Source organism: Homo sapiens, chromosome 20, assembly GCF_000001405.40.
Source record: "Homo sapiens chromosome 20, GRCh38.p14 Primary Assembly".
NCBI classification, from domain to species: Eukaryota; Metazoa; Chordata; class Mammalia; order Primates; family Hominidae; genus Homo; species Homo sapiens.
This window is the reverse complement of record NC_000020.11, coordinates 63,240,698-63,264,710: the sequence shown is the minus strand read 5'-3', so window position 1 is coordinate 63,264,710 and position 24,013 is coordinate 63,240,698. Positions and strand designations below refer to the sequence as shown.

General features: G+C 61.1%; 2 protein-coding genes and 1 long non-coding RNA gene across 14 annotated transcripts, besides 7 other annotated features; 1 reads left to right on the top strand and 2 right to left on the bottom strand.

Moving 5' to 3' along the window:
* Window positions 1-3,095: 3,095 nt before the first annotated feature.
* Window positions 3,096-10,733, bottom strand: FLJ16779 (uncharacterized LOC100192386). The gene has a single exon (NR_024389.1). It is a non-coding gene; the product is annotated as an uncharacterized LOC100192386 (long non-coding RNA).
* Window positions 4,087-4,702: an enhancer, noted in NCBI's record as "H3K4me1 hESC enhancer chr20:61891361-61891976 (GRCh37/hg19 assembly coordinates)". NCBI's record gives its function as "activates a minimal SCP1, AML or CMV promoter by ChIP-STARR-seq in primed H9 embryonic stem cells {active_cell/tissue: H9 hESC(primed)}" and the evidence as "EXISTENCE:reporter gene assay evidence [ECO:0000049][PMID:30033119]".
* Window positions 5,938-6,555: an enhancer, noted in NCBI's record as "H3K4me1 hESC enhancer chr20:61889508-61890125 (GRCh37/hg19 assembly coordinates)". NCBI's record gives its function as "activates a minimal SCP1, AML or CMV promoter by ChIP-STARR-seq in naive H9 embryonic stem cells {active_cell/tissue: H9 hESC(naive)}" and the evidence as "EXISTENCE:reporter gene assay evidence [ECO:0000049][PMID:30033119]".
* NKAIN4 (sodium/potassium transporting ATPase interacting 4) lies at window positions 9,790-23,927 on the top strand. Of its 12 annotated transcripts, none has more exons than XM_017027636.3 (7): window positions 9,790-9,882; window positions 14,639-14,776; window positions 15,816-15,896; window positions 16,936-17,133; window positions 20,627-20,687; window positions 22,088-22,172; window positions 22,959-23,927. In XM_017027636.3, exons 2-7 carry the CDS (start codon window positions 14,771-14,773, stop codon window positions 23,008-23,010), a joined length of 483 nt encoding a protein of 160 aa, XP_016883125.1. In that variant the 5' UTR covers window positions 9,790-9,882; window positions 14,639-14,770; the 3' UTR covers window positions 23,011-23,927. The 12 variants fall into 12 exon arrangements, with proteins under 12 accessions (XP_016883125.1, XP_047295827.1, XP_047295828.1 ...); XM_047439871.1 differs by lacking the exon at window positions 9,790-9,882 and adding an exon at window positions 9,921-9,963 and having other exon boundaries at window positions 23,205-23,927; XM_047439872.1 differs by lacking the exon at window positions 9,790-9,882 and adding an exon at window positions 9,941-9,963.
* Window positions 9,929-10,460: an enhancer, noted in NCBI's record as "H3K4me1 hESC enhancer chr20:61885603-61886134 (GRCh37/hg19 assembly coordinates)". NCBI's record gives its function as "activates a minimal SCP1, AML or CMV promoter by ChIP-STARR-seq in naive H9 embryonic stem cells {active_cell/tissue: H9 hESC(naive)}" and the evidence as "EXISTENCE:reporter gene assay evidence [ECO:0000049][PMID:30033119]".
* Window positions 10,461-10,992: an enhancer, noted in NCBI's record as "H3K4me1 hESC enhancer chr20:61885071-61885602 (GRCh37/hg19 assembly coordinates)". NCBI's record gives its function as "activates a minimal SCP1, AML or CMV promoter by ChIP-STARR-seq in naive H9 embryonic stem cells {active_cell/tissue: H9 hESC(naive)}" and the evidence as "EXISTENCE:reporter gene assay evidence [ECO:0000049][PMID:30033119]".
* Window positions 12,064-12,572: an enhancer, noted in NCBI's record as "H3K4me1 hESC enhancer chr20:61883491-61883999 (GRCh37/hg19 assembly coordinates)". NCBI's record gives its function as "activates a minimal SCP1, AML or CMV promoter by ChIP-STARR-seq in naive H9 embryonic stem cells {active_cell/tissue: H9 hESC(naive)}" and the evidence as "EXISTENCE:reporter gene assay evidence [ECO:0000049][PMID:30033119]".
* Window positions 15,224-16,055: an enhancer, noted in NCBI's record as "H3K4me1 hESC enhancer chr20:61880008-61880839 (GRCh37/hg19 assembly coordinates)". NCBI's record gives its function as "activates a minimal SCP1, AML or CMV promoter by ChIP-STARR-seq in primed H9 embryonic stem cells {active_cell/tissue: H9 hESC(primed)}" and the evidence as "EXISTENCE:reporter gene assay evidence [ECO:0000049][PMID:30033119]".
* On the bottom strand, window positions 15,377-22,050 carry LOC124904950 (uncharacterized). Its single transcript, XM_047440633.1, has 2 exons — window positions 17,953-22,050; window positions 15,377-17,855 (listed from the first exon to the last, which is right to left on the bottom strand). The coding sequence occupies exon 1, from the start codon at window positions 19,902-19,904 to the stop codon at window positions 18,828-18,830; it is 1,077 nt and encodes a 358-aa protein (XP_047296589.1). The 5' UTR covers window positions 19,905-22,050; the 3' UTR covers window positions 15,377-17,855; window positions 17,953-18,827.
* Window positions 16,056-16,888: an enhancer, noted in NCBI's record as "H3K27ac-H3K4me1 hESC enhancer chr20:61879175-61880007 (GRCh37/hg19 assembly coordinates)". NCBI's record gives its function as "activates a minimal SCP1, AML or CMV promoter by ChIP-STARR-seq in naive and primed H9 embryonic stem cells {active_cell/tissue: H9 hESC(naive and primed)}" and the evidence as "EXISTENCE:reporter gene assay evidence [ECO:0000049][PMID:30033119]".

Below are 24,013 nucleotides of genomic sequence, written 5' to 3'. Positions count from 1 at the left end.
AAGGGATGATCAGACGGACGGCAGTGAGCGCCACAAAGAGCAGGCTTGTGGGCCCCAGTGCAGGCGTTGGCCCTGCCCTGGGCGCTGCGGGGTAGTGAGGAAGCAAGGGAAGCAAAGACCCGGCAGCAGGAAGACTCGGTGTTTTTTTGAGCCTGGAGAAGCCACATGCCTCCTCTCGTGTGCTGGAGACACAGGGACAGCTAGGCATGTGCCTGGCCCTGGAGTTCCCGAGCAGCACAGTCTAGAAGGCTCACAGCCGCCGTCCCCACTACAGCCAGCAGCCGAAGCAACCAGAAAATGCACAGGGGCATGGCAAGTGGACGGCCAGGTGTCCACGTCTTTAAGGACTGCGCAGCCACACAAACAAGCAGACCACTGCCACCAGGACACAGATGAGTCTCACGCCACACTGGACATGGTCTGGGCTGCGCCATCCACTTACATGGATCCCCCAGAACAGGCGAGACCCACCAGTGCTGGGCAGGGGCCGATGCCTGCTCTTGTCAAAGAAAACTGAATGCAGAGGTCATTGGTTTGGACGGAGCTCCTGCAGGAGGCCCAACAGACAAAACCAAAATGGAGTCACCCATGCTGTGGTTCCTAAGATCTGTATCTGACCGCCCCCACCCTTCCCAGAAATCAGGGAGAGATAGCAGCCGAATCCCCAAACAGGCCACCAGAAGCCAGCAAGAAGCCAACATGATAAGGAAGTCCCCTCTGCTTTAACCTTTGTTTTTTTTGAGACAGTCTCATTCTGTCCCCAGGCTGGAGTGCAGTGGCGTGATCTTGGCTCACTGCAACCTCCACCTCCTGGATTCAAGCGATTCTCCTGCCTCAGCCTCCTGAGTAACTGGGACTACAAGTGTGCACCACCACGCCCGCTAATTTTTGTATTTTTAGTAGAGACAGGGTTTCACCACGTTGGCCAGGATGGTCTCAATCTCCTGACCTCATGATCCGCCCATCTCGGCCTCCCAAAGTGCTGGCATTACAGGTGTGAGCCACCGCGCCCACCTTTTTTATTTTTTTTCTTTTGAGATAGAGTCTCACTCTGTCACCCAGGCTAGAGCACAGTGGTTCAATCTCAGCTCACTACAACCGCCGCCGCCCGGGTTCAGGCAATTCTCCTGCCTGTCTCCCGAGTAGCTGGGATTACAGGTGCCCACCACCACACCCGGCTAATTTTTGTATTTTTGGTAGAAACTGGGTTTCACCATGTTGGCCAGGCTGGTCTTGAACCACTGACCTCAGGTGATCTGCCCGCCTTGGCGTCCCAAAGTGCTGGGATTACAGGAGTGGGCTTTAATCCTCTGCTTTAACCTTTACAGGAAAAGTAACTCTGAAGTGACCAGCGCGCCTTTGGTTTCTGTCTACTTTCCTCGGGCCTCTTCTGTCTGTGAAACCGACCTCTGACCTCCCCTCGGCTCATGAGAGCGTTCGTTCTGTTTTATGGAAAGAGGTGTTGCCCGATTCTAGAGTAGCAAATAAAACACAACTAAGATCTTGAAACTAAATGTGTTGTTTTGTCTCTGACACTCCTTCTGGGGGAGAAGCACTGACTGGGGGCCAGCAGGAGGGGGTTTCAGGGGAGCAGGAGGGTCTGTGTGTGGCCCCGTGGGTGACTAGTGACGAGGTGCAGCTTACTGCCTGCACACAGGTGTCTCCTACTGAGGGCCCCCACCTGTCTGCAGGTGCGCCCTCTCTGTACTGCAGTCCAGGTGTCCTCTCTGCACCTGCAGTTCAGGCGTCCTATGCTGTTCGCTCCCACGCCGGGGTGAGGAGGCGCTGCCAGAGCCCCAACCCTGGGGACTGGGGGTCCCAGGACCTGGAATGAAACTCAGCCCTTCGACTTCTGAGCTGTGGGGTCACTCAGCACGTCCCCACCCCCGTCTCCTGAGGGTCACTCAGCGCGTCCCCACCCCCGTCTCCTGAGGGTCACTCAGCGCATCACCACCCCCGTCTCCTGAGGGTCACTCAGCGCGTCCCCACCCCCGTCTCCTGTAAGTCACTCAGCGCGTCCCCACCCCCGTCTCCTGTAAGTCACTCAGCGCGTCACCACCCCTGTCTCCTCATCTGCAGAATAGGAGAATGGATGGTCGCTTCCTCCAAGGGTTCTTGAAAAGTAAACGAGGTGATGGGAGGACGGTGGGGACGAAAGGAAGTCCCTTGAGGTGAAGGGAGGACGGTGGGGATGGAAGGAAGTCCCTCGAGGTGATGGGAGGACGGTGGGGACGGAAGGAAGTCCCTCGAGGTGAAGGGAGGACGGTGGGGACGGAAGGAAGTCCCTCGAGGTGACGGGAGGACGGTGGGGACGGAAGGAAGTCCCTCGAGGTGACGGGAGGACGGTGGGGAAGGACGTCCCTGCTACGGCTGCTGTGGGGGCTTCTTAGTGCAGGATGGGGCCTCCTGGGCTCTGGCAGGAAGAGGGAGGGGCAGAGACTGGGGAGGGGGCACTGGTGTGTCCTCCTCAAGCAAAATCAAACTAATGAGGGCAAGGAGAACGCGAGGCTGCCAGGCGCTTCCTGTGCTTCCAAAGCCAGGACGCGGCCGGGGGGCACTCCTGAGTCCTTCCTCACACTTCCTGCTCTGGTTTGAGTGACATCTCCTCCAAAATTTGTGTTGAAAGCGAGTCCCCCCCGCAACAGCATTTAGACCTGTGGCCTCTGGGAGAACGGGACGAGCACCTTGTGAATGGGATCCAGGGGAAGGGAGCACCCTCTCACCCTCCCACCTTGCACCATGTGAGGCCACGGCCTTCGTCCTCTCTGGAGGAAGCAGCAATCAGGCGCTTTCTGGAAGCAGAGAGCAGCCCTCACCAAGCAGCGACCCTGCTCCTGCCTCAGTGCTGGACTTCCAGCCTCCAGAAAAACCCAGTTCTTAAACACAACCCAGTCCAAGGCATTTGTTACAGCAACACAAACGGAGCGAGACGCTCCCCAAACACTGGATTCATGTGACATTTGGGAATCCTAACCCCATGTGGGGCCTCCATCAGGAGAGCCAGAGAGAGGAGAGGGAGAGAGAGGGAGGGAGGGGCGTGCGGCGCTGGCCTCCGGGGAGGGCAGACAGATCCACAGGCAGCAGCCTGGCTTTCCTTCTCTTTGATTTTTTTCGTTTGTTTAATGATCCGAATGCTTGAGCAAGAAACCCTGGCCTCGCCTGCCTCGGCCTTTTCTCTTTGATCCCTGAGTTGCTGAGATTAAAGATGAGGTCCCAAATGAGAGCTACCAAGATGTAGTCGAGCGGCTCCAGCCCCTGGGTTCCCACAGAGAGGGTCTGGGGAGATCCAGGGGAGGGGCTGGCTTGGGGCCTGGACTCAGGATCCAGGGGAGGGCCAGTGCGGGGCCTGGACTCAGTGAGGCCTCCGTCTCGTACTGTGTCGGGCTCAGGGCAGTGAGCCCTTCTCCTGCTGGGGGCTTCATGCAGAGAGTTGTGCCGGGGGGACCCAGGGGGCTCTTTGAGGGCTGGCAGCCAGTCCTGGGGCAGCCTCATCTGCAGCTGACCCTGCTGCCCCCTCGAGACGCACTGGCAGCACCTGCCACCCAGCTGGGTCTAGGCTGCGCTGGTCTGGTGTCCACGTTTACTCCTGGTGTCAGCCAGCAGCCACAGCCACAGCCCTAACCTGTACGCGGTGCACCCCGAAGCTGGTGCAGCCCATGCTCTGTGCTGGAAGAGCCCACACCTGCTCCAGGAAGCCCTGCAGAGGCCGTGGCTGCTGCTAGGCACTAAATGTCGGCTTGACACAGCCTGACGCAGAGCTGGGTTCTTTCTGCCCCCACTCCTCGGCTGTGTGGCCTTCCCGAGACTCAGCTTTCCCCTCTGAAGACAGGGGTCAGGCCACCTGCCTCAGGGGCCAGGGAGAGCACACAGGGCAGTGTGCTCGGTCCCGGCCGAGGCCGAGGGGTGCAGTCTGCATTGGCTGGGCTGTTCTTGCTGGTGGCATGGGGCCTGGGGAAGGATGGAGCCTAATGTAGGCTCGGGAGGAGGGACGGCAGGCCGGGATCCAGAGGTGTCTGCGGGGCGGCGATGGCTGTGGGGTGGGCGAGATGAGCCACACCAACCCTTGCCGTCAAAGCTTCCTCTGCACCCAGGTGATCCGAGCTCCCAACCAGTGCAGTAGAGTGGCTGTGGCTGCAATCCCCTAGCCCCAGCGCCCTGCTCCAAAAGCAGAGAGGCCAAGGCCCTCCCACAGATGGACGGAATGGCCAAGGCAGGAGCCCTGGGCCCACCGCGTGTCTCAGGAAGCACCCTCTCCCCTTACACTTATTTGCTCTCCTCTCGGCTGAGGCTCCCTCTTCATGAAGGGTGAGTGTTGCAGGGCAGACAGGCTCGGGGCCCAGCCAGGGGGCGGCTGCAGCCAGGGCCAGGGGCATTGCAAAGCACCAAGAACCGAGGACACACGGGCTCGGGGTCTCAGCTTCCTGCCGTCCGTCAGTAGAGCTGGGAGAGACACAGGCTGGGTCTCACCTGGCCAGAGGTGTGGAGGATGCAGAGACCTCTGACCGGACTGGCCACGCTCGCCGTCACACCCTGACGCCTGCGGCCACCCGTGCAACTGGAAGCTGAGGAGGCAGGTGCTGAGCCAGGTGGGTGTCAGACCGGGGACTCAGAATCCTGTGAGGCCTTCATTCAGTTCCCACCTGCTCCGCGTGGGAGACTTGGCTGAGGCAGAGGAGAAAGTCAGCAGACCCGCAGGAGGGCGTGTGCGAGGTGCACAGGGGGCTACTCTCTGGGGCATGAGACACCACCTGGGACTTCCCAGGCTCACAGCAGCCCCTGGGGAGAGAGGCCCCACATGTGCACACAAGAGCCATGGGGATCTTCTCCTTAAACAAGCTACGTGACTCTCCTGGGACAGGCCCACCCGCCCAGAGCTCCCACTGGGAAAGGACCCCTGACAGGAAGGACAGGAAAGCCCTGAGGCTGGTTCTGTGGTCGCCAGCAACAGGAGCCTGGAGGGAAGTCAGGAAAGGCGCAGGCTGGGGAGCAGGCTCGGTAAGACGGCCTGGAGGATGGGGGCTCCCCTCTGGGAGCTGCGGCCATGATCCTAGCTGCCCCTCTGCCCCCTCAGCCGAGGGCTTATAGTACCAGGGAGAGTCTGACGGCCACACTCAGGCGGAGGCCATGTCTCTACGGCCAGCCCGAGGACGTGGTTGATGCGTCCCCTGAGGTTGCACACACAGCCCGTGTGGCTGCACAGAAGCATCCGAGTGAGGGAGAGGCGGCACTGCCAATGGAAACCAGGGTGACTCAGTGACAGACGGCCCAGGAAGCTGAAGTGCCTCTGCCTCCGAGAATAAGAAGACAGGGTGGGAAACGGTATTTCTGGCGAAGAACAATTCCAAAATGGTGGTGGGGGGCAGGGTGTGTGCCGTCAGGGCTGGAAGTGGGGGGCTGCACTGCTCTGCGGGGAGCTGGCATCTGGGTGGGTCCTGAGTGTGGGAACGGAGTTCAAGGGGGTGGGGGATTGCGGGGAACAGGACCACGCGTACCGTGAGGGGCCAGGGAACAAGAATCTCACCCAGGAAGCCTGGGCTGAAGCCAGCTGGGAAGAAGCTGCGGCAACTCCCAGGCAGCTCCCAAGAAACCTCTGGGAAAACGCCCCACCCGAGGCAAGCATCCTGGGCTGCCCCTGAAGTCCAGCTCAGCCTGATTCCCACACTGGGAGTGCACACACGTGTTGCATTGTTGGGCAGGACGTTCCTTTCGGGAGGGAGAAGCTGGGACTGGAGAGACCCGGGCCAGGCTCTGAGCCAGAGAGGGGCCTCTCTGTGTGTCTGCAGTAAACTGGAAACCAACCAGCACCCTTTTTTTTCAAAGGAAGAACAGAGTCGACAACATTGCCTGTGGGCCTGGATGAAGGGGTCTGGCTGTGCTCTCTGTGGAGCCATGGGGATTGGCCTCTCCTTTTCCAGGAGTGTTTGTTGCAGTTGAAAGTTCTCCCGGTTTCATCTGAAACGGGGACAGGGGTGTTGTGACAACAGAGGGGCCTTTGCAGCCCCGCACAGGCTCTGCGGACAGCTCTGCCGGGAACCCAGGCCTGGGTTCCTCTTCCTTTCCTTTTCCTGTTGTCTCTGCCACAAGGAAGGTCTGCCCTGCGGGCGGGCTGGGGCTGCTGCAGGTGTGGGAGAGCAGCGACTGAATGGTGGCCCCCAAATCTAGGCCTGGCACAGTGGCTCACACCTGCAAACCCAGCATGTTGGGAGGCCAAGGCAGGAGAATTGCTTGAAGCCAGGAGTTTGGGGCAAGGTTCTTTGCAGATGTGATTAGGGATCTTGACATGAGAGCATGCTGGATTACATAGGTGGGCCCTAAATGGCATCACAAGCATCATAGCAAGTGACACACAGGAGAGGAGGAGGTCACGCAAAGGTGGAGGCAAAGACCAGAGCGATAACGCCCACAGGCTAAGGACGCTGGGAGCCACAGGAGCTGGGAGGGGCAGGAAGGACCCTCCCCAGAGCTTCGAAGGCAGTGCAACCCTGCCCATACCTGGATGTTAGATGTCTAGCCTCCACAACTGTGACGTAATAAACTTCCGTGGCTTCAAGCCGCTAGTTTATGGGAATTTGTTATGGCAGCCGCTAAAAATGAATACACTGGGTTTACTAAGAAAGAAAAAAGGAGAAGATGCACAAGGTCCTGGCCTGAACAAGCTGTCACTCTCCTGAGTTTCCCTGCCCTGGAGGCCTTTCCCAGCTTGCCAGTCCTCCCAGGAATGCATGGGCCCCACTCGGCCTGCGTTTGTGCTGACTGGGGTGGCTGTCCTTCCATTGCTGTCCTTCTCTGTCTTTCACTGTCCTCCTCTGTCCATCACTGTCCTCCACTGTCCATCACTGTCCTCCACTGTCCATCGCTGTCCTCCGCTGTCCATCACTGTCCTCCGCTGTCCATCACTGTCCATTACTGTCCATCACTGTCCTCCGCTGTCCATCACTGTCCTCCACTGTCCATCGCTGTCCTCCACTGTCCTCCACTGTCATCCGCTGTCCTCCACTGTCATCCGCTGTCCATCGCTGTCCTCCGCTGTCCATCGCTGTCCTCCGTTCTCCATCACTGTCCTCCACTGTCCATCACTGTCCTCCGCTGTCCATCACTGTCCTCCACTCTCCATCACTGTCCTCCTCTGTCCATCACTGTCCTCCGCTGTCCATCACTGTCCTCCGTTCTCCATCACTGTCCTCCGCTGTCCATCACTGTCCTCCGCTGTCCATCACTGTCCTCCGCTGTCCATCACTGTCCTCCGCTCGCCATCACTGTCCTCCGCTGTCCATCACTGTCCTCCGCTCTCCATCACTGTCCTCCGCTCGCCATCACTGTCCTCCGCTGTCCATCACTGTCCTCCACTGTCCATCACTGTCCTCCACTGTCCTCCATTGTCCATCACTGTCCTCTGCTCTCCATCACTGTCCTCCACTGTCCATCACTGTCCTCCGCTGCCCATCACTGTCCTCCGCTGTCCATCACTGTCCTCTGCTGTCCCTCACTGTCCTTTGCTGTCCATTACTGTCCATCACTGCCCTCTGCTATCCTCCACTGTCCTCCACTGTCCATCACTGCCCTCCACTGTCTGTTGCTGTTCATCACTGTCCTCCACTCTCTGTTGCTGTCTATCACTGCCCGTCACTGTCCATCACTGCCCTCCTCTGTCCATCACTGTCCTCCTCTGTCCATCACCTTCCATCACTGTCCGTCACTGTCCTTCACACCTCAGCAGGACCATCAGCTTTTACTCTCTGGAAACTGGGGGATATTTTCCTGCCTGGCTGCTCCAGCTCTGCCCAGAGTCCCCCAGGTGGGCAGGCCGTGGCATTCCAGCCCCCATTCCCCAGCCCCTTAAGCGACAGACCTGTTGGGAGCCTGAAGACAGCCCACCTGTCCTCAGGTGTGACTCACACTCACTGCAGTTTGCTGCTGCCCCAAAGTCCAGTTCCGGGCAAGGGTGGGGGCCTCCGACTAGGGTCTTCCCACATGGGATTCTGTGTAATGATGGAGACGTGCTGCCATTTCACTTTTAAAGCTGTCATTCTTAGGCAGAAGGAATTCGAACAAGAACGAGAGCAGATGAAGCGTCCGAGAAAACCTCACCACCCACAGCTGGCCAGGCCCCAACAACTGACCTGGGCCAAGTCACAACTGTGTCACCCGCGAACCAGGTGTGCAGACCGAACCCGCCTCTGGAGGCTGCTCTAACGTTCACGAGGCAACACTGCGCCTGGGGTCCCCGCGGCTGGCTGCTGCCGTCAGTGTGCACCAGGGCAGGTGGAGTGTGGGCTGTGCACGGCGTGGGACCTGTGCAGACCTGCTCTGCTGAACTCTCAAAGGGGCTGTCCTGACCCCTTCACCAGAACTCGTAACTTTGGAGCAGGGGATGCCCACGACGGCTCCTGGCTCTGACACTGGCTCCTGCAAGGGACACTAGAGCATCGTTGCATCCTCAGCAAGTGAAGTCTTTTGCTTTCAAGAGGAAGAGCAGGCAGCCTGGCAGGACAGAACTGCAAGGCGCACGCATGTCCAGGCAGCTTCCCCTGAGAGAGAAGGATCCACACACACAGGCAAGGCTGAGCAGGTGCCCCTCCCTCTCCCTCAGGACCTCAGCAGCCGGCTCCGGGCCTTCCTCTGCTTACGTGGCACTGGGCCTCTGCTTACCCGGCTCCTCTGCTTACGTGGCACCTTTGCGAATCACCTTCTAGGAGTCCACGTCCTTCCACCAATGGCTCCAAGTGCCTGGAGGAACCAGGGTTATGGGGGACGGGGATGGTACCGCTGTATTTAAAAATCAATGTCTTATATATCGTATAAATAAACATTAATTTTTTCACATCTTTTAAAAATCGGGATATAATCCTCACACCATAATAGTCACCCCTTTACAGTGTAGTGCTCAGTGGGCTGCAGTATATTCACAGAGCTGTGCAACCATCACCACCATCTGATTCCTGAATATTCTTATCTCCCCAGCACTGCAAACAACCTGACGCTCCCCCTCCCTCCACAACTGGCCACACCTTTGCTCTCTAACCTTTGGGGCTTGGAAGCTACCCCCTCACCCGCCCATGAGCCTGGACTACAGATCTGGGGTGGCTCCCCGCAGTGCAGAAAACCTGACCCTTGGTCTTCTGTTAACCCCTCCTGATCCCCGGGACTGTGGGACACACAACCAAAATTAGGAAGGCAAGAATCCTCAGTAATTCATAAAATCTCGAGTGGGGCAGGAATTCAGGTTGCCATGGGAAACCCATCTCAGGCTCCTCAGGCGGTGGGTGGCAGTCAGGGAGCCTGCCCTGCCACTGAGTAAAGACCAAGTGGCAGCCCTGGCCCGGCCACCTGCCCTGATCTCCCGCTGTTCTGCCCCCATGGGCTTTCCGACCGGCTGACACTCTGGCTCACTGTATCCACGTCCTGCTCCTCTCGGGCCTGGCTGGGACCCTTCCCTGCCTCCAGCGCAAGCTTCTTCCGGAAGCGCAGGCTTTACGGGGTTCAGCCCCATCCAGACCCCAGGACCTGCCCTGGGCAGCTGGGTCCTGCCTCCACCGTGCACAAGGCCTCAGGCTGTCCCAACCCGAGGCTCCCTAGGCCCCTCCCGCGCAGGCAGGAGGCCGGTCCAGGCAGTTGGAGCAGACCTGGCCTTCAGGTCTCAGCCTTCCAGCAGAGGAGCTCCCTGTGGGAGGTGGGCGAGCCCGGCTCACTCCCTCCTCCTGAGTCCTCGGCCCGCCCGCCCGTGGAGGGGACCTCTGAGCTCTGGACCCGGGTCCAGGACTTCTCCAAGCCAAGGAATCTCTGAGACTCTCAGAGAAAACGCCTCGCGGATGCGGGTCGCTCAGACCCCACACGGGGAAGGTTGATGGGGATCTCACGCCGGAGGGCGCACGGCGGGAGCAGGTGCTGGGCAGGTCATCCTGCAGGAGGGGGCGGACGCCGGTCATCCCTGCCGCGTCCAGGGCGGGCTCCCCTCAGCTGCAGGTCTGTCCTGGGGCCGCGGCGCCGCCCCTCGCTACCCGAGAGGCCGCGCCATCGCCCCTTTAAGAACGGTCCCCCTCTCCGGCCGGCGCGAAGCCCCCAGGGGCCGCAGGCGGGGGTGGGAGGGGAGACGCAGCGCAGCTGTTACCCGGGGCTGGGGCTGGGCCGGGGGTTGCGGGGAGGAGGGGGGAACGGGATGCGGAGGGGGCGGGGTCCAGGCTGCGGCGCGTGGGGAGCGGGCGGAGCGGGGGCGGGGGCCGAGCGCGGGGCACCCGGGGGCCTCCTGTATAGGCGGGCACCATGGGCTCCTGCTCCGGCCGCTGCGCGCTCGTCGTCCTCTGCGCTTTTCAGCTGGTGAGTGGCGACCCCTCCGCGAGCCTCCTGGAGCCCCCGGTGCCCGACCCACGGCGGCTGTGGGGTCCCGAAGCGTCCCTCCGCCCCGGGGCCCGTTCGCTGGGTCCCGCGCCAGCTCCGAGGGGGGATGCCTCGGACCCCGGGCTGCTACGGCCGAAGGTGGCGTCGCCTGCGGGGCGTGGGGAGTCGCGGCGCCGGGTCCCGTCCCCGGTGTGCGTGCGCGGGGGGCGGCCGCGGGTCCGGAGCGGCGGGGACAGGTGCGGGGCAGCGGCTGGATGGGCTGGCCGGACGGAAGCCTTCGGGCGGGGCCGCCTGGACCCCATCGCCTGGGGAGGCGTGTGTGGCCCCGGGTGCGCCCCCGGGTGCGCGCCTGTCTCTGTCTGTGCGAGCGTTTCCCGCAGCCGGCCCCGGGCGCCGAGTGAGCGGCCAAGTTCCGATTCTGAGATTCGGGTGGGGCGATGACGGAGGCTGTGCCTGCGAGTTTGCGAGTGTAGGGGGCGGGGGGTGAGAACGTCCTGCCCACCCGCGAGCAAACCGGCCCCGCCCGCCCCCGCCGCCCCCCATTCCGCCCGGCGTGGAGCTACGCGGAGGCGAGAAGGGGCTGGAGCCGATGCCCGGGGCGCAGCGCGGGCGTCTTCGGTGTCGGGATTGGTCGGGGCTCCCTCGGCCAAGTTTCCATTCTGCCCCGGAGTCCGAAGCTCCCTGGGACGCCTGGGGGGCGGATTCTTTCCCGGAGCCCGGTGCCCTCGGGGGAGGGGGCTAAACAAAGGCCTCGCCTGTCCAGGCTGGGGAAGCTGCTTTGCTTCGATGCTAATTGGCCCTGGGTCTCCCGTCTTAAAAAGGAAACGATGCTTTGTGGGCTGCGGAGCGCAGCTGGACCGCGCGCCCCCCTCCTCCTCTTGAAGCTAGAAGGGCCAGAAGGGGCTGTTTCAGAGTTTTGAGCAGCGAAACCCTCGGAGTCCGTGGCTGTGCAGCTTGGGTGTCCTGTGCTCGGCTTAGGGGCACAGGCTTGCGGGCGGACCTAGGGACGGCGGAGGCATCGTGTCCTTCCTGCAGGAAGGAAGGAGCTTCCGGCGCTTTCCTGGGAGGCTCGCTGGGGCCGCGGAGATAACCTGAGGTCCTGCAACAGGCTGGGGGCCCAAGGACCATCCCAGGCCTTGGAACAGTTGGTATCTTTCAGTGAGTGGCTCCTCAATGGCAGGAGTCCCTTAGGAGACTGGTGGGGAGGGGCTGGAAGCAGGAATGGGGAGAGCAAGGGTGGGCACTCGAAGACTCCAGTGCCCGTCGGATGACCTCATGAAGGACAGGCACCAGCCTGGACGGTACCCCAGTTTGGAGCATGGCCAGTGGCAGCTGGTGATGCATGAGCGTCAGGAAGTGAGGCTGCTTTGGGGGACACTAGTGACATTGGTTTCCATCTGTTGAAGGTGGTGTGAGGATGTGCTGGGGTTGATGGTGCTGGGGTTTGGGCAGGAGAAATGGGTGCTTCAGTCTCAGGTGCAGGGTGAGGCACGACTGTGCTGGTCGGATGTGACCTCAGGGTGCAGAGGGGCGGGTGGGGTCATGTTCCCGTTTCACCTCTGCGGTGGACAGTAGACAGATGGGCGCACATGCAGGCCCTTGGAAATTTGGTTGCAGCCAAGAGGGAAAGAGTCATCCTGGCTTGAGGGCCGCAGGGCTTCACTAGCAGACCTGGGGACTCTCCAGGGACTGGGCAGAGCCGTGTCCTCTCAGGGCCAGCCTCTGGGTCACTGCTGAACCGCAGCAGGGAGCTGTCAAAGGCCTTTTGTCCTGGCCGGGTTGGCAATCTGGCAGCCCACTGTGCCTCCTCTGCCTTGGGGAAGAAGAGTCCTTGACCACAGCTCTAGTCACTGCATGGGGGTAGGGGGCCCGGGAGGAAGGGCGGGGTTGTTGGATAGCCCCTTTTTTTTTTTGACAAGTGTGAGAATTTTGTGTTACCAAGCTACAGGACAAAGGGCCCAGGCATCTCTTCTGAGCGCCTTTCTCCCCAAAGAACAGTGTGAACTTTGCTGGCTCTGAGCCGGGCTGTGCTGCGTCCAATTCCCAGGCTCTGCCCTGCTGCATTGAGGAGACCCTGGGAGCCAAAGGCCCAGGAAGGGGTTTGGGGCTGGGTCCTGGCAGGGCCACCAGGGTCACCTGCTTCCATGGTGGCATGAGCCTCCCTGCTCATGCATGTCGCCACATGTCATGGAGCCCTGAGCCTCTGGGAGCCTTGGCTTCGAGATGAAAAAGACGCCCCCAGCCCCTCTGTGCTGCAGGGTCTCCATTCTGGAGCCAGACCTGAGGCTGCTCCTCAGGCCGAGACCCCTTAGCCGAGATGTGCAGCTTGTCCCAGCCGCCAGCCCAGACCTCACAGAACTGTGCCCGGCGTAGGCAAAGTGGGCCAGGGCAAGAACTGCTCCCCTTGGGGGGCTCGCTTACCTTCCCCCCGGGGCTCCGGCAGGGCAGACATCCCTCCTCGTAGGTTAGTGTCCTCCGGGCACGATGGGGAGGCCTGAGACTAAGAGTTTCGTGGGCGGCTAGCCACCCAGGTGCCCAGGCAAGAGACCAAGGGCACGAGATGTTCCAGTATAATAAAATATATAATACAACAATAGTTATACTAGATATAGGTCATAGACATGATTATATATGAATATCATTCATCATTAGTTTGTAGCAATTACTCTTTGTTCCCGTATTATAATAATCCTTGCTCTACAATCATAATCTAGGAAAAACCAGGCCATACAGAGATAGGAGCTGAGGGGACATAGTGAGAAGTGACCAGAAGACAAGTGTGAGCCTTCTGTCACGCCCAGACAGGGCCACCAGAGGGCTCCTTGGTCTAGCGGTGACACCAGCGTCTGGGAAGACGCCCGTTGCCAAGCGGACCGTGGTCTAGCGGTAGCCTCAGTGTCACGGAAAAACACCTGCTACTTAGCGGACTGGGAAAGGGAGTCTCCCTTTCCCCGGGGGAGTTTAGAGAAGACTCTACTCCTCCACCTCTTGTGGAGGACCTGACATCAGTCAGGCCCGCCCGCAGTTATCCGGAGGCCTAACCGTCTCCCTGTGATGCTGTGCTTCAGTGGTCACGCTCCTAGTCCGCCTTCATGTTCCATCCTGTGCACCTGGCTCTGCCTTCTAGATAACAGCAGCAAATTAGTGAAAGTACTGAAAGTCTCTGATAAGCAGAAATAATGGCGTAAGCTGTCTCTCTCTCTCTCTCTCCTCTCTCTCTGCCTCGGCTGCCAGGCAGGCAAGGGCCCCCTGGCCAGTGGACATGTGACCCACGTGACCTTACCTGTCATTGGAGATGACTCACACTCCTTACCCTGCCCTTTTGTCTTGTATCCAATAAATATCAGCACAGCCTGGCATTCAGGGCCACTACTGGTCTCTGCGTCTTGGTGGTAGTGGTCCCCCGGGCCCAGGTGTCTTTTGGCTGGGATGGGGGATGGGGGATGGAGTGGCTGGGGTGGGGGATAGGGCGGCTGGGGTGGGGGATGGGGTGGGTTCCACAGCATCTTCTCTTCTCTGGGTTGTGCTTCACCAGCACGTGGGAAGGAGCTGGTGACGGGTGGTGCCGAGTGCGCCAGTCCCTGCAGTTAGCGTCCTGGTCATGGCTTTGCTCAGGTTTTCTTGGTCTCCTAAATATAAAATACCAACTTTATATTCCTCAGGCACCTTTCCCTCCCCCCCTCATTGGTTCTCTCTCGGCCCTGTGTAGAGGGCAGTTCAACAGAGTCCTGTAATATCCTGAAGTGGAGGGGAGGCTGCCTGCCTGCCAGAGAGCAGCCTCACCAGCCCTGTCCCCAAGGCCGAGATGCAGGCAGCAGGCTGGGGCCTCGGCGTCCAGTACTCTTGTGAACCCGCGTCCGTCCCTCCCGGCCATCCGACCCCCCCGAGTGGCGTTTTCTGGGCTGTGTGTCTGTCACCTGGCCCCACAGTTCGTGATTTAGAGCAGCCCCTGGTGTTCCCATTCTCCAGATGAGGAAACTGGGGACAGAGGGGATGGGGCCTACTCAAGGGAGGAACGCTCACCGGGGACAGACGGTGACACACGGGGACACAAGGGGGCCTGTCAGGCTCATTTGGGGATTCTTCTTGGAAGAGCCAAGCACACAGTAGATGCTCAGTGCCTGCTCGGTGGTGGTCACAGAGCAGGAGTTACAGCCCTGGTGTCCTTCGTCAAACAAAGGTGTGGTGGGCGGGTGTGGGGAGGAAGTCCCTGCTGAGATCCTGTCACCTTGGCCCAGTACCTGGCTGGCGGGCCTGGGGCCTCCCTCGGGTCCACCCTTCATGGCGCCCGCCCTGCTCCTAGGTCGCCGCCCTGGAGAGGCAGGTGTTTGACTTCCTGGGCTACCAGTGGGCGCCCATCCTGGCCAACTTTGTCCACATCATCATCGTCATCCTGGGACTCTTCGGCACCATCCAGTACCGGCTGCGCTATGTCATGGTGGTGAGTCCTGGGCCCGGCCCTCTTTATGGGCAGGTGGGTTGAGGTGACCAGGATGGCGGCTCCCATGGCACCATCCTGGCATATTTTCCTGGACACCACTGAACACCCCACAAATGCCAACCCAGACCCCTGGGTTCAGACCTCTTTGCTGCCTGGACATCTAGAATTCTGGTTCGGACGGAGGGGCTTTTCCGAGGCTGCTTGAAGGAGCAGCTGCATATATTGGGGGGCCCCAGGCACTGAACGCCTTCACGAATTCATCCCCTCAGTAGCCAGGGATCTGGGTGCTGCCACGATCCCTGCTTTACAGATGGGAAATCAGGCACAGAATCACTGTCGGAAGCCCAGGGTGGGACCTGGACCCCAGCAGACCCCTGGCCATACTGTCCTTGCTGCATCCTCTGGAGAAGCTGAAAAAATGTTCAGAAAAATGTCTCTCTGCTCAGTCAGCATTTTCATTCAGTGCAGAACCAAATCATCGGTCCAGACCAGTAGTTTGCAGCTGACTTTTCCTGTAAAGGGCAGATGGTAAATACCTTAGGTGCTGTGGCCCGTGCAGTCCCAACGCAAAAGCAGCTGGGCTGTGTGTGCACAAATGGGTGTGGCTGTGTCCGCAAAACTTTATTTACAAAAGCAGCTGGCAGCTCTTTGGGGTGCTCTCTTGGGGGTGGCTTCTGGGGTGCTCTGCAGTGGAGGCCTGTGCTGTCCACGTGTAATGTCAGCCCGGTGAGGCGAGGACAGGTCACGGCAGCTCAGCCAGGGATGCTGTGTCCGTACGCCGACCTGCGCTGGGGCTCCCTTGAGCTGGCTGTCCCACCGCCTCATTCCCGGGGCACCCACGTGGGAAAGCTCTGAGACGTGTCCCAGGGTGGGCTTGGGGGACCCCTTTCTCCATGCTGTGCATCTGGGGGCCGCCAGACTCAGGAGCAGAGGCCGCCCCTCCTATGCGATCATGGGACCCCTTCCCCCGGGGGCTGGATGCAAGCAGGTGTGCCCGGGAGCTGTGTTCAGCTGCCGCCCCATCCTCTCCTCTCCCTAGTACACGCTGTGGGCAGCCGTCTGGGTCACCTGGAACGTCTTCATCATCTGCTTCTACCTGGAAGTCGGTGGCCTCTTAAAGGTGAGTGCAGACTGGGAGGCAGCGCGAGGTCCTTCCCTGGGGTCTGGGCCGGGCCCCTGGTAACACCCCCTGTGTTTGCTTTTCATCTGTCGTCTGAGGCAGGGGCTCAGTCTGTGCATGGCTCTGTCCCCAGCACCCAGAACAGCCCTGGTCTGTAGTTGGTAACTCAGTAAAGGTTTGGGGAAAGACCAGTGATTTGATTGGTGAAAGAAAGGCGTCTGTGGGTATTGGCAGGCGAGGGGGCTCCAGCTGGGGAAGAGGGGCCTCAGAGCAGGGGCAAACCCTGGCAGAGATCTGCAGGTGAATGGACACCACCCTCCTGGGGCCACGTGGGGTCCTTTGTCCCAGCCCGACCAACCCTCCAGGCTGGTAAAGCCTCGTGCCTCCTGCAATGCAGGGAACCAGGGGAAACGTGGGGGGAGGGGGTGGGAAAAGGCCATCGCTGAGCCGACCCTGACCGAGGCTGTTCAGGGGAAACAGGGTGGGGGCCATTGCTGAGCCCACCCTGACCGAGGCTGTTTCAGGCACTTTGCTTACAGCTCAGAGGGTGGTCCTAAAGCCAGGGTGGATGGATTTTGGTCTCCCCCAGGGGCTCTCTGCTCTGGCCAGTGTAGCACAGGTGGGCACTGGGGCAGGTGCCCAGCCAGGCAGACGGGCCCCCGCTTCCTGGAACCACACCTGGGGCTGCAGCCGGGAAGACTGTCCCGAGGCAGACACACGTCACATGGCAGCTTTGGCCAGCGACACGAGGAAGGGGCCCGGTGCCCCTGAGAGCGAGTTCTGGGGTCTGGGCAGGGAGGCCTTCCTGGAGGAGGAGGTGTGTGGGTCGAGGGCAGGCGCAGGAGCGGCTGGGAGGGCCTTGGTATTCCTTTCCCCACCATGGCTGGAGCCCTGGGGGCGGGGTGCAGTGGGAGGACAGGGGAGGTGAGAGGACAGGACCTCCCCTTGCCTCGGTGTGGTGGCGTCCCCGCAGGCTGCAGTGGGTGAGGCCGCCCACCTCCTGGTGCTAACCGGCCCTGCTCCTGCACCTCTCCCCTAGGACAGCGAGCTACTGACCTTCAGCCTCTCCCGGCATCGCTCCTGGTGGCGTGAGCGCTGGCCAGGCTGTCTGCATGAGGAGGTGCCAGCAGTGGGCCTCGGGGCCCCCCATGGCCAGGCCCTGGTGTCAGGTGCTGGCTGTGCCCTGGAGCCCAGCTATGTGGAGGCCCTACACAGTTGCCTGCAGATCCTGATCGCGGTGAGCGTGGGGAAGGGGGCCCCCGGGTGGGGATGGGTTGATGGGGGAGGGGACATGGAGCTGGGGGCTCATCTCCCTGAGGCGGGGCCAGCTGACCTGGCCTCAGGCGTGTCTCTGCCTTCCTCATCCCCCACCCTTGCTGGAGAGGTTAAGGTATCACGGGTGGGTCCCATGTGGCTGGCACCTCAGTGCCTCCTCTGCAAACCACCTCCCCCAGGCGGGGCCAACCCAGGCGCTTTCTCAAGTTGAGCGTGGTGTTTGCTGTGGGGAGTGGGAAGGAATCGGATCAGGCCGAGACACCCCGCCTCTGGCTTTGACGGCCCCAAGGAGGAGGGGCATGCATCTTCCTGACAAACCCATCCATGCGTGTCCCGCCTGTTCCCTCGGCTGCCCCGAGCCCATGCCGGTCACAGGAAGTGGACAGAGCCTGAGGCTGGGCTGGCAAGAAGCCCCTCAGCCTTGTCGGGAACCCTGGCGTATGCATCTGGCAAGGCTGGCGCCACGTGACCCAGGTCTGACCGGACAGGGATTCTGTGGCCCCGGGTGGCGCTGAGGAGCAGCTGTTGCTTGTGCGGGAACGGGACTCTGCCGTCCTCTCCGGCCCTGCACGGGTTGGTAGAGAACAGGGGCTACGATGCTGCTCCTGGTATGGCCACACGGCCACTTCCCCGCTGTGCCGCCTCTGTGAGCCTAACAACCTCCGTGTGCCTCAGCTCCCGCCTCTGTAAAATGCAGATGGTGTCAGTGCCTTCCTCGAAGTGCTCAGAAAGAGGCAAAAGCTGAGGCGGGTGTGTGGAGGGTGCTCGGTCAGCGTTTCACCTCAAGAGCTCCGGGGGCAGGGCCAATGTGACTGCAGCACGGCTGGTGCCGTCGCTGGAGGAACTTCTGACCGATCTCGAGGCTCCCTGGCTTTTCCTGGTGCGCACGGTGGTGTCGACGCAACACACCAGGTGGACCTGGGGCTTCCAGGAGCGAGGCTCCATGGCCGGCGGCTGGCGGTGGGAGCTGAATTCCAAATCTAAGGAGCCCGTGGCCTGAGCACACGTGACGGTGCGGGTGGCCTCGTGAGCTCCCGGGGCTCCTTCCTGGGCTCTGCTCTGGTCCTGCAGGAAATCAGGCCAGGAAGGTGCTGCCCCATAGCAAGGGGCCACAGACGCACCCTGCCAGCTCCAGTCGGGGCCTGTTTCTCCCACCAAAGCCAGTCAGCAAGGCACAGAGGGGGCCCCAATTGCCCCCAAAATGTGTGGAACCCAGGTGCCTGCCACTGGAGGAGAAAGAGCCAATTTCCCAAGTGTGCACATCAAAGCTCCTGAGATTAGGCTTTGTGAGGAGGCAACAGAAAAGAAGCTAGGCTGGGTGCGGTGGCTCACACCTGTAATCCCAGCACTTTGGGAGGCCGAGGCAGGCGGATCACGAGGTCAGGAGACTGAGACCATCCTGGCTAACACGGTGAAACCCTGTCTCTACTAAAAATACAAAACAATTAGCCGGGCGTGGTGGCGGGCGCCTGTAGTCCCAGCTCCTCGGGAGGCTGAAGCAGGAGAATGGCATGAACCCGGGAGGCAGAGCTTGCAGTGAGCAGAGATCACGCCACTGCACTCCAGCCTGGGTGACAGAGCGAGACTCTGTCTCAAAAAAAAAAAAAGGAAGCTTGAGGGGAATGAATGAAGAGTCTCTCGGAGGGGGCTGGCGTGCTATGGGAGCCGAGGCTGGAGGAGTGGGCACTCTGCATGGTTGGGGAGATGGGGCCTCCTGTTGGCTTTTATCCTGACTCCCAGGGATGGGAATTTCTTTGATAGGATGTAGTTTCTAAATTCCAGCCAGCTAGTCCTCGCTAGGATCTCGCCCCTGCTGTTTGCTTTGGAGGGTCTGGGAGAGGCTGGCGGCTTGGTTGGCCTCTGCCCAGCTGTGCTGGGGATGGAAATGGTGGTGGCAAGAGAGTCGTCTGACAAGGCCAGGCTCTGGGGGTTGGGGTGCGGGGCCTGCAGATCCCAGGCCTCCATGCAGCAGGGAGAGGGGAGAGCTTTGGGGTGGACCTGGGGCTGGAGCCAGGAGGATGGGCAGGAGGCGGTGGTGTGCAGGGCGGGGAGCATGGGGGTGTGGGACAGAGGTGGCCTGCAGGTCCCCAGGCAGGAGGGCACCGGCTGGAAGGGGCATCTTCCAATGGCTCCCCAAGCTCGGCTGCCTGTTCGGCGCCACGGCCAGCTCCGGGATGGGGGCGTCTTGGGCTCCTTTGGGGTGAGGAGGGGGACGAGCCGTGGAGGTTGCCCACCCTCACCGCTGCTCCCACCCTGGCCGTGGCATGGAACCAGAAATGGCCATTTGGGACAGCTTCTTGAGCTTGTCTCAATATCAAGGAGATAGGTCTGCCTGCTTGGTGGTAAGAGAGGTCTCCTGGCCCCTGACTGACCCCTAGAAAGGAGCTGGATTTCCAGGAAAGCAACCACCAACTTGCCTGTACCAGATGGGGTCGGGGGTCGGGGGGACGGAGCCCAAGCATGTCCAGCCCTGGGGCCTGGCCTGCGTGTCCTGTCTCCTCTCCTGGGCACGGTGGCCTTCACGGGGGGCTGTTGGGCCAAGTCTATGGAGGAAGAAACCAAGACCAGAAGATGAAGTGAATTTTTGGGGTCACCCGGCTGCTGAGTGGTTGGCCTGAGGTGCAACCAGGAAGGTTTCCTGCCTCGTTCCGGGGTCCCTCCAGTCACAGACCCACTGCCGCCTCCCTCGGTGTCTGTGGCCTGGAGTGCCCCTGGCCAGGCCCTCTCGCTCATGCTGTTGGTGTTTCTGGCTGCGGCAGCACTGCCCCCCCTTTGCCAGAGCCCTTTTTCCCTCAGTGGCCCTGGATGCAGGTGTCTGCGAGGTGTGTGGGGCTTTGCAGCGGCCTGCCCTCTGCCCTGGACTCCCAGTCCCTCCCCTCTCCCTGCCTGACCCCTGCCCCAAAGGCAGCAGCCAGCCCCCAACTCTGCCCGGAGTTGCCCGCTGGACCCCGAGTCCTCAGCCTGTCTCTCCTGCACTTTGCCGGGCTCAAAACCAGAATCCCAGATGGCTTGCTCCACAGAGGAGGAGGAACCCCTGGTGGCTGCTGGCTGGAGTGGGCTGGGGCCAAAGGCAAGAGGCCCGAGGGGACGCAGGGCTGGGACTGTGCTGGCCTGGGGTTCATCCAGCCTGGGCTTCTGTGTCCTCACCCCGCTCCCTGCAGCCACTCAGGCTGACCTGCTCATCTTCCCCACCCAATATCCATTATCCTCACCCACCTGCCCCCTACCCAGTTGAGTGGGGTGGGGTGGAAGGCAGGGGTGCGTCCGGAGCTTGAGAGCTGAGGATACCCACGGGTCAGCTCTCCCACTCCAAGTCACAGAGGAGGAACCTGAGGTCCAGGAGAGGCAGGGCCTTGGTGGTCAGGGGCGCTCCAGTGCTTCGGCCCACATCGCCTCAATGACACCCCACAGGCTCGCCTGGCCGCACTCACGCCCCTGCCTGTGGTGTCTTTCAGCTTCTGGGCTTTGTCTGTGGCTGCCAGGTGGTCAGCGTGTTTACGGAGGAAGAGGACAGCTGTGAGTATGGGGCCTCTGCAGGCAGTGGGGCGGGAGACGGCTACAGAGGTGGCAGCTCTGAGTCTGTCCCGTCTGGGGCAAGGCGAGAGACCTCCCCACTTGGAAGGGACCTCACGCCCAGCAGGGCCTTGCTCACGGCCGTAGGCCTGAGCGAGGACTCGCCACACACCAGGGAAGAGATTAGCAGAGGTCCTAGCCTGGGGGCTCCAGGGGTCAGCTGCCCCCCGGTCCAAGGACTCCTGTGCTTTGGGCTGGGCCTGCCCTCATGATCCCCGCAGTGGCCACGGGAGGAAGGTCTGAGCTCAGACTGCCCAGGTCCAGGCCGCTGCAGCCTCCAGGCAGATCGGAACCGGGCCCATGGCCAGGACGCTCACATCAGGCCCTCGGTGGCAGCCTGGACCCATCTGGGCAGGGTTTCATCTTCCCTTTGCTCGCCAGCCCGTCAGCTTTCCTGTGATTTGCAACACGAGTGGTCCACACTCAGGCGCCCTCGCTGGGTCCCCTCGTCCTGGTGTGGTCTCACAGGAAGACCCTGTGGAGAAGGATAGAGCCGGGTGGGGAAGGGCAGACGCCAAGCAGGGTCTGGGTGTGCCCAGGGGTCCTGGTTCCTATGGACAGAACTCTCCCTGGGGTCAGAATCCAGTTCAGAACCATCTGTCCCCAGGACTCCAGGGGCCATGGGGTCAGCAGTCCACGTGTCAAAGGGCACCCTACCCTCAGACCAGGCCTGATTCCAGAGGCGAGGAATGCCCTCAGAGCCTCGGTCCCCAGCGCCCAGCATCCCTCAGCCACTCTGCTGCTGATCCTAAACCATCACTCAGAGCTCAGCCAGCTTCCTGGGAGGAGGCAAACGACTGGTTCCATTCAAACATTTTAAGATGGGAACCCCATTTGAACCTGGGGTTCAAAATGCCTCGACTTTGCCCCGCAAGCCCCTGCTGCCTGCTGGCTGTGCAGACACAGTGTCAAGGAAGCCATCGGTCTGAACATGACGGAGGGCGGCGGGAGAGTGGGCGGAACACGGTGCAGCCCCTGCACAGGCTGGAGGACCCGGGCTGTCCTGACCCCACTGTCCCCCGAGGCCATCCCCACATAGGCCGAGGACCCGGGCTGTCCTACCCCTGCCGTCCCCCCAGGCCATGTCCCCGCACAGGCTGAAGATCCGGGCTGTCCCACCCCCACTGTCCCCCGATGCCGTCCCCGCACAGGCCGAGGACCCGGGTGTCCCACCCCCCCCGTCCCCCCAGGCCATGTTCCCTCTGCTGTCATGTCAGGGCTTTGGGCACTGTCTGTGCCCCCAGGGACCCCTTGGGCTTCTTTGTCTGGTTGGGCTTGTTTTCCACTCTGACATCTTTTCCATTGTGTAGGTTTTGTTTTATTTGGGTCTTGATTTCTTTCAGTTGATTTCATTGGTGGATTTGATCCATTTCCTCTCTACCATGTCAATGAAAAGCCATCCAGTCTCTTGTCCAAGCAGGTGTACTTGTAAGTATGGCTGGCAGAACCTGCTCTGCGGCCAGCCTGGCCAATCTGGCCCTCACAGCGAGAGGCTGCCTTCCTTGGGGGCCTCACCAGGCACCTGCCTGTCCGTTCTGCCATCCATCCGTCCATCCATCCACTCTCACTTTTCTAACATCTGCTTCATGCCAGGCTCTGGGGTGGTACTGGGGCTGCAGAGACCTAGGACCCAGTCCCAGCCCAGAAGCTCAGAGCCCAGCAGAGATGGAGACTGTGGGAGGGGGTTGGGTCCAGGAGTCGGCTCTGAGTCGGGGGCCGCAAGGGTGTCCTGAAGAGCCACTTCCCAGCAGGCGGCATGGGGGTGCTGTAGGGGTCTCTCTGTGGCAGGAGCTGGGGCCCTGGCTTCCTATCTGGCAGAACCAGACTTGTTTCTTGAAAGGCAGTGTCCACAGCTCTGCAAACCCCAGACTTTGGCATGGGGTGCCAGGGCTCCCACCTGGCCTCCTCTGAAACAGCTTTTGCCACACAGCCCGCCCCGTACACAATCCTAGTTTGGGGCTCAGAATAGGTGGCTGCACCGCCCCTGGGCTGCCCAGGCCCCCAGACACACCTGATGGCACGCCCCTGGGTAGCCCCTGGCTCTTCTCTCCTAAAAATGAGGGCTGTCCCGGCAGGGGCCGTTCAAGGTAGCAGGAGCCCAGCTCCCATGTCAGAGAACAGGGGAATAAAGACCTGGGAAGGGGTGGGGTCACACGCAGACCCTGAGCCAGGGACCCAGGCACACCCCTGGGTGAGCCCCCTCTCCACTCCCAGCCCCACAGGCCAGACCCCACTGAGATGTCAGCAAACAGGCACAAGACGCTGACCTGCCGGCACAGAGAGAGGCAGTGGGGGCTTTCCAGAGCCTCAGTCCCACCCATCTCCTTTCTGCCAAAGGCCTGAAGCCGTCCACTGCTTGGACTTTGTTCCATTTCAGGTTCTCCAAGGGGAGGGGGTGGCAGCCCCCAGTGGCTGCCCCAGCCCTGTTCCCCCAGGTGCTCTCTGACCTTGTCCCCACAGGCCTGCGTAAGTGAGGAAACAGCTGATCCTGCTCCTGTGGCCTCCAGCCTCAGCGACCGACCAGTGACAATGACAGGAGCTCCCAGGCCTTGGGACGCGCCCCCACCCAGCACCCCCCAGGCGGCCGGCAGCACCTGCCCTGGGTTCTAAGTACTGGACACCAGCCAGGGCGGCAGGGCAGTGCCACGGCTGGCTGCAGCGTCAAGAGAGTTTGTAATTTCCTTTCTCTTAAAAAAAAAAAAGAAAAGAAAACATACAAAAGAAAAGGCAAAACCCCACATGCCCACCTCCTCTGGCAACATGGGGGTCACAGCTCTGCCCCCAGGCTGTCGTCTCGTCGAGGAGCCCCTCCCTCAGGTGCCCACCTGGGGCTGCTGGACCCTCGGGCTGCAAGCACTGCTGCTGGGATGCAGCCTCCCCAGGAAGTCAATGTGAGGCCCGAGACCCCTCAAGCGGTGAGGGCCCCTGTTGAACATGGAGGGTTCCTAACCCCAAACTCGTGCCAGAAGAACCCCCACCCCACCCAGGAGCTGAGGCTGATGGAGCCCTAGGGTGGGGGCTGGGCTTGACCAGGAACAGCAGAGCCAGGCCCCAAGGCATAGGGCAGGGCACATGGTGGTGACGAGCAGGCAGTACTCTTGTAAAGGGGGCTCTTGGGCAAACAGTCCCAAAGGCTCCCCCAGGTATCATCAAGTTGGTAAATAAACAGGAACATGGCCCTCACCCACTCTGTGGAAGATGCCGAGCTTGGGGGACAGTCAGGGGTACAATCTCAGGTGGGGCCTGCGGCCTGCCCGTTCCAACAGTCC

Excerpts from the sequence above, each read along its gene's own strand:
- NKAIN4 (XM_011528527.3), top strand. The coding sequence starts at position 10,261 with ATGGGCTCCTGCTCCGGCCGCTGCGCGCTCGTCGTCCTCTGCGCTTTT. Across the intron at positions 17,134-20,626 it reads GCCTGCAGATCCTGATCGCG|CTTCTGGGCTTTGTCTGTGG; the intron begins GTGAGCGTGGGG and ends GGTGTCTTTCAG. Across the intron at positions 22,173-22,958 it reads TTGTCCAAGCAGGTGTACTT|CCCCACAGGCCAGACCCCAC; the intron begins GTAAGTATGGCT and ends CTCCACTCCCAG.
- LOC124904950 (XM_047440633.1), bottom strand. The coding sequence starts at position 19,904 with ATGAGCGAGAGGGCCTGGCCAGGGGCACTCCAGGCCACAGACACCGAG.